Here is an 18,583-nt window from a genome sequence, read left to right as displayed (position 1 = left end):
TTGGGGTTGAAATTTTGTGTTATTAGCTGTGAGACTGTGGGACACACACAGGGATGGCAGCACCTCTCTAATCCAATGTTTTTAACAACTAAATAATACATGCCATGCGTTAGCATGTACCAGCTATGCAACAAACATTGGATTGCTTTCTACTTCTACCTACTTATCTTATTATTTTATATTTTATTCATTTATTTATTTATTTTTGAGGCAGAGACTCGCTCTACTGCCTGGGCTGGAGTGCAATGGTGTGATCTCGGCTCACTGCAACCTTTGCCTCCTGGACTCAAGCAATTCTCCTTCCTCAGCCTCCTGAGTAGCTGGGGTTATAGGCACCTACCCCTATGCCCAGCTAATTTTTGTATTTTTAGTAGAGATGGGGTTCCACTACATTGGCCAGGCTAGTCTCAAACTCCTAAGCTCAAATGATCCACCCAGCTTAGCCTACCAAAGTGCTGGGATTACAGGCGTGAGCTACTGCACCCGGCCTACTTATTTCTTAAATTTAAAAACAGAAATTCCAAGGAAACGTTAAATAAACTTCTGAATAAACAATTACTAGAAGCTACTTTTATTTTTCACAATTTATAGAAATAAGTATAAAATAACCAAGTCATTACAAGCTTAAAGCAATGTTTCTCAATCCTGTTTTTGGGTCGCAAAGTCCTCTGAGTGCAAAGGACGGCTGTTTCCTCACCCCCAGTGCACTGTGCGTGTGGATACAACCACAGATGTTTCTATGCCATGTGGGGGTTCCCCCATGTCTTTTTTCTTTTCTTTTGTTTTTTTTTTTTTTTGAGACGGAGTCTCGCTGTCTCCCAGGCTGGAGTGCAGTGGCGCGATCTCGGCTCACTTCAATCTCCGCCTCCCAGGTTGACGCCATTCTCCTGCCTCAGCCTCCCGAGTAGCTGGGACTACAGGCGCCCGCCACCACGCCCGGCTAATTTTTTTTTGTATTTTTAGTAGAGACGGGTTTTTGCCGTGTTCACCACGCTGGTCTCGATCTCCTGACCTCGTGATCCGCCCGCCTCAACCTCCCAAAATGCTGGGATTACAGGCGTGAGCCACCGCGCCCGGCCTCCCCCATGTCTTAAAGTCTGTGCATGGGTCTTCAGTTTTAAAATTTCTGTATTGTGGAATCATTTAGACTTTTTTTGATAAATCAGGCAAGCACGTCTATATTTCTATATAATAGCAAAAGAGAAATTTGCATTCATCAGCCTGCACGCTCAGAAAGAAGTCTTTGATTTCTTCCCGAAAGTGTGGTTCTCCAAGCTGCAATAGCGACAGTGACGCAGGCACAATGACAGAGACAGTCCTATGCCCGGGCCCTTCATGCCCAGAGCCCTGCAAAGACGCTGGCAGGACAGGCAGTCGCCTCATGTTCTGACTTGCAATGGCCATGCCTTCTCGACCATCATGGTTTTTCTCATTGCCTTTCTCCCTCCCACTCAGAGCGGATGCACACCTGGCCTTCAGGCCCTTCTGTGCAGGCTTCGGTCCCACTGACCCACGCCTTCCTCCCTAAGGACTCCGTGAGGAGGATCTTGTCTCAAGAGGCAACAATTTAAATATGAATTTTTTAGGGGAAATTAAAATACGGATTTTCAAATTTCTCTTTCTTGCTAAACAGAAATATTAAGGTGAACTTTTAAAAATAAAGTGCTGGCCAGGCACAGTGGCTCACACCTGTAATCCCAGCACTTTGGGAGGCCGAGGTGGGCGGATCACGAGGTCAGGAGATCGATACCATCCTGGCTAACACGGTGAAAACCAGTCTCTACCAAAAATGCAAAAAAATAGCCGGGCGTGGTGGCGGGCACCTGTAGTCCCAGCTACTCGGGAGGCTGAGGCAGGAGAATGGCGTGAACTCGGGAGGCGGAGTTTGCAGTGAGACTAGATCGCGCCACTGCACTCCAGCCTGGGCGACAGGGCGAGACTCCATCTCAAAAAAATTAAAAAATGAAATAAAGTGCAGCTGACCAAGGAACAATTTGAGGGTTCGAGGCGCCCAACTCCCCATGCCGTCAAAAAATCCATGTATAACTTTGGACCCCCTCACAACTTAACTATTAATATAACCCACTGTTGGCCAGAAACCCTGCCAACAACATAAATGGTTGAATAACACATATTCTGTATGTTACATGTATTATATACTGTATTCTTTCAGTAGCATAAGCCACAGAAAAGAAAATGCAATTAAGAAAATCCTAAGAAAGAGAAAACAGATTTCCTATTTGTGAAGTGCAAGTGGATCATCATAAAGGTCCTCATGCTCATTGTCTTCTTTTCCTGTCAGCTGAGGAGGGGGAGGAAGGCGAGGGGCTGGTCTTGCTGTCTCGGGGGTGGCGGAGGCAGAAGAAAACCCACAGGTAAGTGTACCCACAGGTAAGTGTACACACGCAGCTCTAACCTGTGTTATTCAAAGGTCAACTGTGTAGTTCGTGTTCTATTTCTTACAACTGTGTGATTTTAGGAAAATTACACTCATTGAGCCTCAGTTTTGTCATCTCTAAACTGGGAGTAATAGTGTCTATTTTAAGGATATACTGAAAGTCTAAATAAGACAACAGTAGAAATGGATTTGGCTGTCAGCACTCAGGAGGAAGACATTTCAGGTTTCTTTATTTCTTATTTAGGAAACATCTATCTCCCAGCTCCCACTCACTGGGACAGAAGATAATTCCAACAGCTGCTTTGCCAACTACCATCAAACTGTATAGGATTTCCTGGCCAGGCTGGTGCTGAGGAGAAGTGGTCAGCAGGCAATGGTTGGGGCCATCATTTTAGCTGTGACGTGTGTGTGCCAAGCAGGGCTGATAACACCTCTGCACATTCCTGCCATGGAATCAACAGAGTCCTGCGAGATGGCTCTCTCCTGTTGATTAGAGACTCACGCTTCAGGGCCTGCCTCTGTGCTCTGAAGGAGACAGTTCTTACCATCCAGAGGCAGCAAGAATCCCAGCAGTCACCATCCAGCACAGGCTAGGCTCTCTCCTATTATAAAAACCTACGGCTCCCTGTCATAGCCCTCCCTGTCTGCCCTGCCTCCCAGTTAGCTGTGGAATCCAGTCCTCCATCTACAACTTCAGCCCTAAAAATGCCCAGGCCTCTGTCCTTATTGTCTAAGGGACTGCTCAGCTCTATCCTCCTGTCAGCGTTACAAAACAGTATCTGTTTACTATCCTGATAGAGGAAAAGGGCAGCGTAGAATAAAGTCCATTATATTTTTGAATGCTCCAGAATTGTTATGCAGAACATAGCAAACATTAATATTACATAGTTTGTCCTTTCTCTTACGTGAGCACATGGTCACAATGTTTGACAGACATTCAGAGCTGAGTAAGTGTCAGGTTCCATCCTTTACTATGAGCTAATATGCTTTAGGAGAGCTAATGTGGGCCGGGTGTGGTGGCTCACGCCTGTAATCCCAACACTTTGGGAAGCTGAGGCGGATGGATCAGCTGAGGTCAGGAGTTCCAGACCAGCCTGGCCAACATGGTGAAACCCTGTCTCTACTAAAAACACAAAAATTAGCCGGGCATGGTGGCGCGCGCCTGTAATTGTAACTACTCAGGAGGCTGAGGCAGGAGAATGGCTTGAACCCAGGAGGCAGAGGTTGCAGTGAGCCCAGATCGCGCCACTGCACTCCAGCCTGGGCGATAGAGTGAGAATCCGTCTCAAAAAAAAAAAAAAAAAAAAAAAAGAGAGAGAGAGAGAGCTAATGTGCCAGAGTTTTCTGATAGCAAGCTTTTCAAAAGAATGCAACGAGTAAAAAAAAAAAAAAAAAAAATCACTTAAAATGAAGGCCATATATGTTACGTAGTGTTTTTTTTTAAACCAATTATTCATCTACTAGAATTGGAATAACAGGCATTTAAGATCAGCACATATAACAAGGAGAAAAAGCATTTGTAGTTACATTATTCTTCATACTCGCTCTGAAAAAGTTGTCTAAATTCAGACAACTAATTAATTGCGAACTGTAACTTATTTTCTTTGTAAGGACATATTTTTAAAAGTATAAAGCCAAACATATAAATTAGGTAATATAATGCTTTATATTTCTTTCTATTCAGTAATGTTTTCAAAATTCCTAAAGGTTTTCCAACACCATTTTATTGACAATTATCCTCCTAGCAACCATAATTTAAATATTGAGTGTTTTCTGAAAAGTTTGCATGGACTGTGTAATTTAATGCCCCGCAAAGCATCATGATGTAAGATAATTATTATCTCTGTTTCATAGATGAGAAAATGGATCACTCGGTTGCAAGTAATTTGCCGTATTTATGTTCACAGAATAAGGGGGTGGCAGAAGAGAAACGGAAATCCTTTATGTTTGCTATAGAAGCCAAAATAATTAAAAGTTAAATTAGATTTTTTGAAACAAAAGCACATACTGTGTTTTTAAAATATAATACTAAACTCATTTTAGACTTTTCCTGATGATATTAATACTGTTTCTAGCATACATGGTAAAATATATGTGTCTAATTTGAAATTTGGTATGAGTAGTATGTTCTTTTTTGTTTGATTTTCTTTATTTCGAAATCCGAAGTTAGACAAAAGCAGATAGTAGGCTGTAGACTAATTACATGCACAAAGATTCTAAGAATTTTCTGCACTTACTCTGTCATCTCAGCTGTTTTCCCGCCTCCTCGCCTTTCCCTGTTCTGTTCAAGTAAGTTCTATACCATTTGAACTGGGTGCCATGTTCTAGATAAGTGGAATCCAAACACATCCAGAATGACAGGCCGCTCTCTTCTCTGTTTAGGGGAAAGCAATTTCCTTACCACTTCCTAGTTATAAGATCAATAGCTCAGAGAGGAGCTAATAGAGTCACTGTTGTTTCCAGGAGGCTAATGTCCATTTGGAAGAGATTTGTGCCATGATACTTAGGTGGACCTATTGTTTGCCTCTTCTCTGTGGGGTTTTGGGAGGAGAGTTGTGTTCTGTGTGCATATCCATCACTGTCACAGCTGGCTCAAACCCCCATAGCAACTTCCTTCTCTCTGTCTCCTCTCTCTCCACCTGGAGACACGGTCTCGAGCTTCAACAATGGATTCAAGCCAGGCTGAGTAAGGTCACAGGAAAAGATGTCAAGAAAACCAGACTGTCAATACCAGAACCAGATGAACAAACTTCTTTTTTTTTTTTTGAGATGGAGTTTCACTCTGTTGCTCAGGCTGGAGCACCATCTTGGCTCACTGCAACCTCTGCCTCCTTGCTTTAAGCAATTCTCCTGCCTCAGCCTCCTGAGTAGCTGAAATTACAGGCATGTGTCACCATGCCAGGCTAAGGTTTGTAGTTTTTTAGTAGAGATGGGGTTTCACCATGTCGGCCAGGCTGGTCTTGAATCCCTGACCTCAGGTGATCTACCTGCCTTTGTCTCCCAAAGTGCTGGGATTACAGGTGTGAGATGCTGCACCTGGGTAAGAAACTTAGTATCACTAAAAATGAGTGAACCAAAGAGTTAGTGCCTCCTGATATGACATAACAGAAAGGACATAGCAACATCCATAAAACCGAGTCAAGTCTTTAGTCAAAAAACTGAGTCAAGTCTAGAGAATATGGATAAAGGAACTAGTTTTAAAAACACCAGCAAGAAGGCAACAAATAACAAAATGAAAAATATTCTACAAAATAACTAACTTGATTTTTTCAACAAGTTAGGGCACTAAAATATAATGTTGCACGTGGAAGTGTACTATGCATTAAAACAGCTTCAGAGTTTACAAAGCATCCAAACCTAATGTGTGTTCTTGTTTGGATCCTGGTCCAAAACAACCAATACATTAAAATCATTTGGAGACAGGAAAATTGGAGTTACCTGTAGGTACCTGATGATACTGAGGAACTACTGTTATTTTTATCAAGCGTGATAATTTCATTTTGGTTATGTATCTTAAAAAGTCCATAATTTTCATGAATACATGTAGAGAAATTATGGCACCATGTCTTGGATTTGCTTTAAAAGTTTCAGCTGGGTGCAGCGAATCCCATCTATGATCCCAGCACTTTGGGAGGCTGGGGCAGGTGGATTGCTTGAGGCCAGGAGTTCAAACCACCCTGGGTAACATATTGAGACCCTGTCTCTATAAAACAGAAAAATTAGCTGAGTGTGGTGGCATGTGCCTGTAGTACCAGCTACTCAGGAGGCTGAGGTGAGAGGATCACCTGGGCCTGGGGAAGCTGAGGCTGCAGTGAGCTGTCATTATGCCATTGCACTCCAGCCTGGGCAACAGAGTGAGACCCTGCCTCAAAAAAAAAAAAAAGTTTCAATAAATAAGCGAACAGAGAATTAGATGAAGATGGTAAAACAATAAGATGGTAAAATCTTCATAATTTCAATCTGGATGGTTGATATGTGATGCACATATACAATTTATAACATTTAGGGTGTGTTTGAAAGTTCTCATCAAATTTTAAAATATATATTGATTAATAATTCAGAGAAAGAAGGATTAATATGTAAGAACTTTCAAATTATGGGTTAAGTGGCAGACATTTTAGTTAATTTAACTTGCATCATTCAAAAGTGAATAAATTGTGGTACATATTTTACCTATAGATTATTTGTGTTTTTATCCTAATTTCACATTTGAACTTATTTTTCATTAACATTCTCAAAAGCAAGCTAGGTATAAAATGCAAATAAAAATAAACCCAGAAAAGGTTAACTTTGGAATTTTGTGGGTAGCAGTAAAATATTTTGGAAACTGAAAAGCAATTTTCTATAAAGATTAAAATAACTAAATGGAGATTTATTTCATTTACTTAGCTTTTGCATCAAAATAAATGTGTATTCATAAAAATAAGCTGAAATGAATACTTTGTAAGAAATAATAATAAAATTTCAGGTCATATCCTACTTAATTACTCAAAATATGAAGCTGGTTAAAAAAACAGACTTTCTTTTACATCTAGATGCAGAAATTTTAAGAATTTATTACAATACATTAATATTTAAAAATGATAATTTTACAGCTCAACCTAGTATAATGTGCACTTAGACTATTCTCAATACAATATGCTTGATTCATTTACATACTTATAGATGTAAAATACTTTCCTTTAATAAGAACTACTTTATTATCTAAACAATTGGCACCTGCCATATTTTGAAGGATATTCATCTATTATATAAAAAATATCATATTAAAGTTTAGTGGGAACTATAGTTTTTGTATTAAGTTGAAAACCTATTATTTAAAAAGAAAAAAAAGATGTTACCTTTTCTGGCATTTAGAAAAGTAACAGACTTTTTTTTTTTTTTTTTTTTTTTGAGATGGAGTCTCAATCTGTCGCCCAGGCTGGAGTACAGTGGCACAGTCTCAGTTCACTGCAACCTCTGCCTCCTGAGTTCAAGCAATTCTCCTGCCTCAGCCTCCCAAGTAGCTGGGATTACAGGTGTGCGCCACCACACCCGGCTAATTTTTGTATTTTTAGTAGAGATGGGGTTTCAGCATGTTGGCCAGGCTGGTCTCAAACTCCTGACCTCAAGTGATCTGCATGCCTCAGCCTCCCAAAATGCTGGGATTATAGGCATGAACCACTGCGCCAGGCCGTAACAGAGTATTTTTAAGTTGAATTCTATTTTCCTTAATGAAGAGACCTGTGTGGCTTATTTTTCACAGATGCACATATTTGTTTTAACCTGATTTTTATTTGTTTTCTTATTTGTGAGCCCAAATGAAATTATTGTGTCTTTACTGTGAGATAAGTCTTCTTTTTGAAATTCTGCAGACATACATAGTATGCTAAATAGTTAGTAACTGCTGATGATAAGAAATAAGCATGTTAGGTAGTTGTCATCTTGTATCAGTCACTATCTTATAATTATTAGATATCACAGAAGATTGTTTTCAAATTTTGGCATTAAAAAATTTGTAATTCACTTCCAGAAATGGAAAAGTGTGTATTTAGCCATGCATGCATTTACATATGAATGCTGAAAATGTTTGTTACTCCTTTATATGCCTATTGTAAGAGAAATACAGAAACAAACAATATTAATTTTAAAAAGTAGAATGTTCAAGTACTGTGCAGATCCCAACCCGTTCCACAGAAGACCTCCAAGTTTCCTGTTTCTTTTTTTTTTTCTTTTTTTGTCTTCATGTTTTTCTACTTGTGCTTGGTGCCTGAGACAAAATCACTTACGAAAGACTGGCACAACTTGTAATTTCTTGTCCTTAATTTTTGTTCACAATTTACTTTTTCTGCTTTGCGAAGGTTTTTCTATTATCCGTCAAAGCTGGGATGAAAGCCACCTTGTTGAATATTAACCCAATTATATCTTTAAAAATGGTATGTTTTGATTCAAAATATTTAAAGGAACTTGGTGTGAAATGTCTTCACCAATGTATGGCTTTGTGTTGTCACCATTTCTGCAAACGTCTTACCTTTCTAATAGCAAAAGACTAGCCAGACATTGTGTCTTAGATACACTGTTGGTGGCAAACACTTGGTACCTCAGAAAAAAAGGAAAGCCAGCTGTGTGTGAAGCAGTGTGTCTCTGTCACCATCAGTGATGCTGGCTGTAGAAACCCCAAATCCTAGAAGACATCGAAATATTTTCTAAGTCATCAAAGAGTGATTACATATAATGCAATGCAGTTTTGGTTAAATGCACATTGTGGCATTATCCTTCAAAAGTTGGTCGTTTATATAATAAATACTAACAAGGTTATACCTATTAAAATGGACTTTTAAAAATCAAATTTGGTTAGAAAAAATGCTTTTCTATGAAAGCTGAATGTTAAAAATCTCATTGCAGTCTACCTCACGGATTACAATGTGACTATCGTTGACTTCAGAAGTGTACCCTGCTATGTAAACGCTAATTAACAAACGCAGCAACAATAGACAAGCACCGTTGCATTCTGACAGTTCGTTTCTAGATGAGAAGTCACTATATCATCGTCAATCCCAAATCTAAGACGGCAATTTGAGTTTCCTGCATGATGGTCTGCTGGCTTCCATCACTCTAGTAATATGACTCAAACGTGTTTTCTCAGCTGATAGAAAGTGACAAGCACTTAGCTCAGTCATTCGTTACAGAGCTGCACACAGGGGAAGCAGCACTGTCATTTTAGAGGCTGACAATGATAACTGGAAGGGTTAATTTGTGCCCAGCCAAGAAAAGAGCAGGATTTCTGATTTCACAGAAAGCAACTTGCCCCTTCACCAGGAGCTTTACATAGTCACATGGGCTTCTTACGGCCAAATGGGTGAGTTCAGAACAGATTTATGTACATTTAAGTTACAGACGTTGCCCAGAGAACGTGGCATGCAGTAATTTTGCCCTTAAAAACAAAAATGCTATGAAGAAACCAGGCTCTGTGAAGAGGTTACATCTTTTTTTTTAGTGATAGATATAAAATGTAAATTAATTTCTACAGCTATTCTGAGAATATCGATTAGAAGCTCTTTTTTTCCATAAATTATTTTGTGTTATAAAATAGCAACAGTGACATCCAGTGTTTAGTAAAATTAATGGCAGGTTGTCCCTGAGGACCATTAAAGACATTAATGCTTTTGAATAAAGACGTATGTGCTTATTTTTACATAAGAACTGTATTAGTCTGTTTTCACAGACTAATCGGGTATGTCTATGCAGATCTAGACATACCCGAGACTGGGCAATTTACAAAAGAAACTGGTTAAATGGACTCACAGTTCCACGTGGCTGGGAGGCCTCACAATCATGGCAGAAGGTAAAAGGCACATCTCTCATGGCAGCAGTCGAGAGAAGAGAAGGAACCCCAAGTGAGAGGGGTTTCCCCTTATAAAACCACCAGGTCTCCTGAGACTTATTCACTACCACGAGAACAGTATGGGCGAAGCCGCCTCCATGATTCAGTGATCTCCCACAGGGTCCCTCCTACAACACGAGGGAATTATGGGAGCTACAATTCAAGATGAGATTTGGGTGGGGACACAGCCAAACCATATCAAGAACCTAGAAATATGATAATTGTCTAAACTTGCTTGATGAGTTTGGAAATATTGTCAGCGTGTCCCTTCTGGATAGGCATGCAGATTGCACTAGCTCAGTTCTCAGTAATATGGCTGTCGTTCTCACTACGGTTTTGTTAAGGAGATTCGCTGAACTGAGTGTTCCACATTTGCATTGTCGCTGCATCTTCTGACTCATGAACCTGAAAGCAGTTGAATAGTGGTGAAGAGAGTTCACTGTGTTCTCCCATGGGTTTGGTTGAACCTGGTCCCTTTCGTGCTCTTCAGCTCCTCTTTGCACTTTAGGATCAACTTGGAGCTTCCAGCGTCTGGAGAGTTATTTTGCGGTGAAAGAGAACATGGGTGCTCTATCCGTGTGTAGATTGCTTGGGTCTCTGCCCTGATCGATGGCTTCTTTTCTGTTGAATTCCTGTCACCACTTTTCCAGAGGTAGACTGGCCATAGTTTTCTGCTGTTTCTAAAATTTAACCTGTATTCCAGTAACATGTATTTATTCTCTAACCAAATTATGCCATATCAATTTTCCAGTCCCCATGTCTTTCTGCTGCTTCTTGGTGTTGTCTTTGGGTAATGCCTATCTAGTCACTTAGAATTTTTTTTGCCTTAGTTTCTTTTTTGTAAAATCGGAATAAGCGATTCATTACCTGCCTTTTCACAAGGCTGATATAAAGGAAAAGCTAGAAAATGTATCCAAGTGAATTAGTCATACAATGTTCAAGGAAAATGGATACTGAGTAAAGCATTCTTCATTTACGTATTTTCAAAAGTTTCTGAGTCATGTAAACAATCGATGGGATGGTTGAAAGAATTCTGAAAAATTTATTTTACAAAAATATATCTATAATTTCTTATCTAAATTATTCAGAAAATATATTACCCCCCAACTAGTTTTACGAGACCAGAGTAATCTTAATACCAAAGCTGGGTAAAAATTTTAAGGAAAGAAAATTCACAAATACAGAAACAATAATTCTTTGGAAATAATCAACAAATTGAATTAAGCTCTCTAAAGAATGATGGTACATCATGAGCAGATGGGTGTTAACCAATAAATACAAAGTTTATTTTGCATTCAAAGTTAATCAGTATAATTCACCATGTTAACAGAGTAAAGGAATAAAAGAAAGATTATCTCAATAAGTGTAGAAAAAGCTTTTGGCAGCATTTAATACTCATTGATGGTAACATCTTAGCAACCAATATCATCTTGAAAAGGGAATCTTCAAAGACCTGTTGCTAGCACCTTTCTTTACTATAAACATTGGATGATATCCCCATAATATTGGAAACAAGAGAGGAATACCTATTCTCATGACTTTTACTTATAATTGTACAGGAAGTCCTAGGCAATGCAATAAGCAAGAAAAGTAAATAGAAACATAAACGTGAAAAAGAAAACAGTAATTATTTAGAGAAGACATATATATGTAGAAAACCCTCTCAAGTCTATTAAAAATAAACAACAAATCAAGTGAGATCATGGAATATAGGTTCTACTGATAAAAATCAGTTATATTTCTATGTACTAGCCAATATTTGAAAAGTGGGCTTATTAAAAAAACCTACCAATTTATATAGCATAAAAATTGATATCCTAGAAATTACTCTAAATACATTTCTAAGATAAATTAGAGAAGATCTAAATGGATAGAAAGATAAACTATATTCAGTTTGGAAGAAAAAATGTTTTCAAGATATCAGTTCTTCCCAATTTGTTAAACAGATTCAAAGTGCTCCTAGGCATAACTCCCGAAGATCTTCCTGAGAAACTGATGAGTCTAGAATGTATGTTTGGTTTTCATAGCTGGGGGAGGAGGCCATGCTGCAGGGAGCCGGTGGGTTGGGACCAGGCACACTGCAAAACATCCGAGAAGGCACAAGACAGTCCCTCCCCACATCAAAAACCTGCTCTAAAATGCCAACAGTGGCATGCTTTTCCCAAGGATTTCTTCTACTGCCCTTTAAGATGGAAAGTCGTTACCTTCTAAAGGTTAATTTTAAAACATGTATTAACCTGACGGTTGACTTCTAACATTTAACTCTGTAATCAATATGCATAGAGAGCTGGGATCATCAGGAGATAAAGCCTGCCGCTGGTTGCCAGCCTCTCTCCCACCATGTGTAGCCAATTGCTCTAACACTACTTCTCAGGTGAATTATTTTGTCTCACTGAGTAGAGATGCCAACATTTGATAGATATTAAACTATAACATTGTAGGATATGTTTCTGAAGTCTGCTGTTTTTTTTTAACCAAAGTTACCTGTGCCACACTTTTTAGAAAGTTGTACCTTTTTCAATGTTTTAATATCCACTAGCGAATTGCTTATTTATGTTTTCCAATAGCCTTCAAACACCATAAAACTTAGGGCTGTGTTATTAATGTTTAAATCCTAGTTTTATCCTAGTACATAGTTTGTAATTTATCTGGTATCCTATTGTTTAAAAGATTCTTCTAAAATTTTCTTAACTTTTAAATATTTCATTCTTCCAGATAAATTTTAAATTTTTGTCTCATAATATCAAGAATTAACAGAAATGCAAGCGTCTTTTAGTTCACTGACTGCATTAAAAACAAACAAAAAAAAAACTTGCACAGGATTTATGTGAAAATGACCAAACCTAAGAATGCTTTCAAACATTCATCCTAGGTACTTGGAACATTTTCCTTGTGAGAGCTTATTCATTTGCTTAGGACTCACTTTGCTTTTACAGATAATGCCATGTTAATTCAGCTGCTGTCTAAGTGATTGTTATTACTGGACTCAAAATAAATGCTGTAATCGAATTTGAGGAGGAACTATATTTAAAATATTTCTTTCTGGTTTTATTGATAAATCCATTTAATTGGATGTCTTTTGTTTTGCTTTTGAAGCTCACTAACTTGTTGTCAAATCGTATGTGTAGTTAGAGTAGCCTATGCAGAAATTCTCAAAGGCTAGTAATTAGTTGGCAAAATACTGCTCAAAAGAGAATTTGCGTGCAAATGGGATAGACTGTTCCCCAAACTGATTATGGAATATGAATATATCTTTTAACTTTTGTAGTTAATTATGAGCATATCCAGGATCGCCCCCTCAAATTGTCCCCAGAGCAAGGTCCTTCTATTACAAACCTGTCAAGAACTGGGCTGTCAATCTGCTGGTGCTGTTCCTGGCTTCGCCACCAGGTGTCGGTGTTTAATGGAGAATTTTGCTCCAGGCTTTGCAGGTGCTTAATGGGCTAACACAGCTCTGGAGATGCGATGGTCCCTTTCTTCTTGGTAGGCTTGGCCAAAGGCACACCCCACTTGGGATCCAAAATGCACAGATGTCTTTGATTAGCTCTTTAATTTCCTAGACCAACAGTGCTGAGCCGGGACAGTCTAGCTCTGTCCAGTTAGCAGTTCCCCCACTAAGTATTCTCCCTGGAACAGGCATCAGTGCCCATGAGGCAGGGCTCCTTTTTCTATGAAACTCTCAACACACGAAAAGTCCATCCACCTCCCTCTGCAGAAACATTCAGGATCACAGCCAGCTTCCCATGCGACGTCTCCAAAGTGATTGATGTGCCCGACGGAGGTCACTCCCAGTGACTCTAAAAGCCCAACTCTTAGCCTTCAATTAGAAATTTAGCTTAGTGACTCATGGTGAACGTCCACTTCGTCACATACCTAGGAGCATCTGCCAGACTCTCCTGCTAATAAACGAGGAAACTCAGCAGGGGCCTTTCTCCTGTAAGGTGCACATTCCAACCTCCGCATGTCCCACACCATTCGTATTCTATGAAAAGGGAACAAGGGGATTTGAAGCAATATGGAGTTCTGCATCTAGGAGTGTTAAAAACATCCTTTTGGAGATGTTAATATGAAGGAAGGAGGCATAATGTGACCACTCCAGTTGTGAGAATGAACAGAGACCAACCAAATGAGAACAGGCAAGAGCTATTTATTCAGAGCTTGCTAGACAGATGGAGCCACCACCACACTTTGGGCTTGGCAGAGACTCAGGAGGCAGGGAGCGGGGAGAGCGGCTCGGGGAGCCCCGGCGGAGGCTGTGGTGGTAGTGGGGACATCTCATGGAATTGACTAGGGGAACACTTGGCTTTCTCCACCTGGTCCTAGGTTGGAATTGGGGACAACGTTACAGAATCTGTCAGTCATTAATTACATCCTGGCCCTTTGGCACTGATTGCCTCAGGGTGAACTGTTTGGCCTTCTGGGCCGTTGCTTGACACCCCGGCCTTCCTTTCTGGACTCTGACTTGCAGCAGGTGGCTTCCGAACTGGCTCCTGCAGACAAGCGCTGGCTCCCGGGGCTGCTCGCGGCAAATCGTGGGTCAGAGTTCTGCTTTTATATGTGGCGTGGTAATTGATCATTTACAAACTCAGTCTCCCAAAGTCATATTCTCTTAGCAAAAAATAAAATTTTAATGAATGGCTAATATATGTGACTTTGAGAAAATCCTCAATTGTTATCATTACTTTGATTATTTTTGAATTTTACCCTTAGAAATGTAGCTTTTTAGTTTTGGGAATTAATAGTAGAAAAATAGAAACTTAAGTCCTATACTTATATTTAATCATAGTTAATCATAGAGATGAATAACACCCAACACTGATACAACCGTTTTTTATTAGCAACTTAATGTATGAAAGAATGAGGAGCACAGATCGACTCCTCTCACTTTGAGAGTCTTTTCTTTCCTAATACACTTTTCATGGCAAGGTTTTCATGTGCCTCTTAATGACTTCTATTCCCATGTGATAGTGTGACCTGGCAAGTAAAGTATTAAACAATAATTGAAAAAGAGTTTGATCTTAACACTACATTTTCAAGATCTTAACGACTTTATTATAAAATCCGTGTACAAAAGCATCTGCATTTATTTCCAACAGAGAAAACATGAAAAGCAAAAGGTTTCAGTCACCGAATCTTTCCCAACAGGAGGTAGGAGAGGGCCTGGGAGTGCAGGCAAGGACAGAAAGAGCGGTTTCCCCATAAAAATGCCTGTGGCGTCTGCGGTACTGCGTTCCAGGAATCAAAGCCGCAGGCTGCAGAGGGGAGCATGAGCTTCCGCAGCTGCGGTGAAGGTGAAGCTGGTGGAGAGAGGCCGCCTTCCAGGGGTCCCTGAGCGGCAATGAGCTGCAGTCTCGCCGACTGCGCTCTGCGTTGGAAGCTGGAGGAGGAGCTGCTGGTCTTCGCTCTGTCTCTTGAACTCCTCCGGTCAGGTTAGACACTTCTTTTGTGCTTTCATGGGAGCTTCATGGTGTGTGTGATGGACTCTCCCAAAAGTCCCCGCTATGGTTTCTCACACGTTGAACCAGGTGCTGGGTTTTCTTCTGATGGGGATTCGAAGCTGTCATCAGGCCGTCCTGAATTTCACCACTCTGTCTTCCGGGAGGGCTCCTATGGCATGGCTTGGACTTAACTCCTTGTGCTATGCATTGTTTAGGTCAGATGGGTGCCCGTGTGATATATGTTTTATTTTCTGTTTATTTATTTTTGAGATGAGTCTTGCTCTGTTGCCCAGGCTGGAGTGCAGTGGTGTGATCTCAGCTCACTGTAACCTCCACCAGCTGGGTTCAAGTGATTTTCCTGCCTCCCAAGTAGCTGGGACGACAGGTGCGTGCCAGCACGCCGGCTACTTTTTGTATTTTCAGTAGAGACAGGGTTTCACCATGTTGGACAGGCTGGTCTCCTACATACTCCTGATCTCAAGTGATCCGCCCACCTCAGCTTCCCAAAGTACCGAGATTACAGGCATGAGCCACTGCCTCGGGCCATGTGCTGGTGTGATATAAACGTGCAGTAATTACCTGACTTTGTGTTTACCTTTGTGCCTGGGAAAACACCTGATAGAGGCGTTCCCATGTTAAGATGCTCTCAGGGACCACGCTAGTAGCAGCCGTCAGAGCCTTGACAAATTTAGGGCCCAGGAACCGTGCTTCTGTGCACATTCGTGGAACGCTGTTTGTGCGCCGGATGAACAGCAAACGCTGGAGCCCAGTTTGGCACGTGCCAAGCATTCAGAGACCTCGTTTGCTTTTCAGAGTTCGGGATATGAATGAGATCGGCCTCAGGGCAACTGCAGCATCTCCTACGGGAAGCCCTCATCTCCCACGCTGCTCCGTCCCGTGTCTCCTACCCTCCCTTGCCTGCCTAGGCCCTGAGGGAGGGTTGCTCCTCCAGCAAGCCTCCGGTTGATCCTCCAGATGTTTCCTTTCTAATTTTTCATATTAGCTGAATTGGGATCCACTTTTTCACGGACTCTTCAAGACAATCGATGGCGGATATTATCAACCCCTTCATTTAGTAAACACTTAGATCAGGATTTGTTTGCTAATCATTAGCTAGCCAGTCCTTGAAATTACTGACGTAACGTTTTTCAGCAAAGGCCCTTCTGCAAGTGTCTCTGTGGGGATGTCGGGGCCGATGTTCACGCTGCCTGAATCCATTTATCCCCAAGATGCTCTCTATGGGATGTTCTCGCAGCTTCCAGAAGCCAACTGAGCTCACCCCATCGTTCAGTTGTGTGAATTTCCATATCAGATATAAATTAACCAAACGTTGACTTTGTCAGTTCTCAAGGGAGATCTCAGGATGCTGGGAGCAGGCACCTAGAGTTTGTCGTGACCCGTGCCCCTCACCCGGGTGCTTTCTGACAAACTCCACCCTTTCAGGAGATGGCTGGAGGCTGCGAGGGCACCGCATGGTGGTGAATGGCAGACCAGGAAGGCATTGGTGGGGAGGGTTACGCTCCCATGGCTGTGTTCACTGTTACTAGTTGGATCCCTGCTGCCCTCTTTGTACTCATGGATGAGAGTCAGAAATAGAGTGGGCTCTGCACTCATTAACCAGACCAGATGAGTCACTGCAAATCAGCACCAGATTTTGCTTATCTTTTGCTTGAGAAGCTGTCAGCTGCTGATATGGTTTGGGTCTGTGTCCCCACCCAAATCTCATCTTGAATTGTACTCCCATAATTCCCACATGATGTGGGAGGGACCCAATAGGAGGTAATTTAAATTATGGGGACAGTTTCCTCCATACTGTTCTCAAGGTAGTGAATAAGTCTCATGAGATCTGATGGTTTAATAAGGGGTTTCCGCTTTTGCTTTTTCCTCATTTTCTCTTGCCGCCGCCATGTAGGAAGTGTCTTTTGCCTCCCACCATGATTCTGAGGCCTCCCAGCCATGTAGAACTGTAAGTCGAATTCAACCTCTTTTTCTTCCCAGTCTCAGGTAAGTCTTTATCAGCAGCATGAAAATCGACTAATATAGTAATATAGCTGTCCATGTCCCTTCAAATGAAAGTTCATTCAAGGATAGGCATCTTCATTTGAACTCTTCCTCCCATTTCCACTTCCTTGGCTGCTGTTTTATTGATTCTCCCATTTGGCAGCATGTCCTGGGCATCTCCAGTGTGCCAGGTGTGTTGGTGCCCTCAAGTTAGAGGGATGGGCAACAGAAACAGCCTCAGCAAAACATTGATTTTGAGGGAACAGGAATACATACAGACTTAAAAATTGTCATCATTTCTACAAAAGAAAGAACAGGATGTGAAGACACAGAATACACCAGAAGAAATGGCACAGTTTAGATGGGGGAGTAGGAAAAGACCCCTGAGGAAGGGCGTTTGGATGGAGGCATGCAGGATGGGTAAGAGTTCACTGGAGCATTCTTGGGGATGAGCCTTCTGGGTAGTGGACATGGGCTGTGCAAATGGCCCAAGGTGGTTTCGCGGAGCGCAGCAGGCATGGAAAAGAATGACGCAATCTGTTTTCAGAGACGTGGCTGGGTGTGGGGCTGGGTGATGCCCCACGATACAGGCATGTGATGGGGCTTGTGATTCTTTAAAGTGAAATGCACCATTGCCAGCTTTGAGCAGAGCTGTAATGTTACCCAATTTGTGTTGTGAAGAATTACTCCTACAACAAGGATGTTCCGGCAGCTGGTGGAGAGGGGAACACTCACACATGGCCCCAGTAGGGTGGTGTGAATTCTCCCAGGGGTGGTATGGCCAGAAGTGGGGAGGGAGCCAAGGGAGGAACTTGAAAACAGCATGGGAGGGAGGAGCAAGACCGCAATGGATCTGAAATGGAGAGTGTGAGAAGGCAAAGTCCAAAGAGGATGTGGAGATGCTAATGTGAACAGAGGTGCTGATACCTGAGAAGGAAGAACCCAGAGGAGGAACAGAGATGAGGGGTGAGGTTCATGGCTGCATGTTTTCATGTTTGTGGCAGTGCTTCTAAGCTGTTTGGTTTAATTCTTAAGTTTGTTGTAGGACTTGGACGTTCAAAGATGATGAACAGAGTCCAGTCTTGAGCATTAAAGATTTCGTAATCTAAAGTTGATACAGACTTTGGAACTAACAGAATGATATGGTTTGGCTGTGTCCCCACCCAAATCTCATCTTGAACTGTAGCTCCTATAATCCCCACCTGTTGTGGGAGGGACCCAGTTGGGGGTAACTGAATCATGAGTGGGTTTTCCCATGCCGTTCTCTTGACCTTGAATAAGTCTCATGAGATCTGATGGTTTTATAAAGGGCAGTTCCCCTGCACAAACTCTCTTGCCTGCCACCACATAAGATGTGGCTTTGCTCCTCCATCCTCTTCCGCC

The 18,583-nt window shown here is 41.4% G+C and overlaps 1 long non-coding RNA gene across 5 annotated transcripts in view, besides 2 other annotated features; it reads right to left on the bottom strand.

Annotated features, from left to right (window-relative positions):
* LOC105377785 (uncharacterized) overlaps positions 1-18,583 on the bottom strand; it is a 297,276-nt gene that overhangs the window by 196,404 nt on the left and 82,289 nt on the right. The window lies entirely within an intron of this gene.
* Positions 13,631-14,131: an enhancer, noted in NCBI's record as "H3K4me1 hESC enhancer chr8:2671219-2671719 (GRCh37/hg19 assembly coordinates)". NCBI's record gives its function as "activates a minimal SCP1, AML or CMV promoter by ChIP-STARR-seq in naive and primed H9 embryonic stem cells {active_cell/tissue: H9 hESC(naive and primed)}" and the evidence as "EXISTENCE:reporter gene assay evidence [ECO:0000049][PMID:30033119]".
* Positions 14,132-14,632: an enhancer, noted in NCBI's record as "H3K4me1 hESC enhancer chr8:2670718-2671218 (GRCh37/hg19 assembly coordinates)". NCBI's record gives its function as "activates a minimal SCP1, AML or CMV promoter by ChIP-STARR-seq in naive and primed H9 embryonic stem cells {active_cell/tissue: H9 hESC(naive and primed)}" and the evidence as "EXISTENCE:reporter gene assay evidence [ECO:0000049][PMID:30033119]".

The sequence above is a fragment of the Homo sapiens genome, chromosome 8 (genome assembly GCF_000001405.40).
Source record: "Homo sapiens chromosome 8, GRCh38.p14 Primary Assembly".
In the NCBI taxonomy this organism is placed as follows: Eukaryota; Metazoa; Chordata; class Mammalia; order Primates; family Hominidae; genus Homo; species Homo sapiens.
Note: the sequence above shows the minus strand (reverse complement) of the source record. Positions and strands in the feature narration are given on the sequence as shown.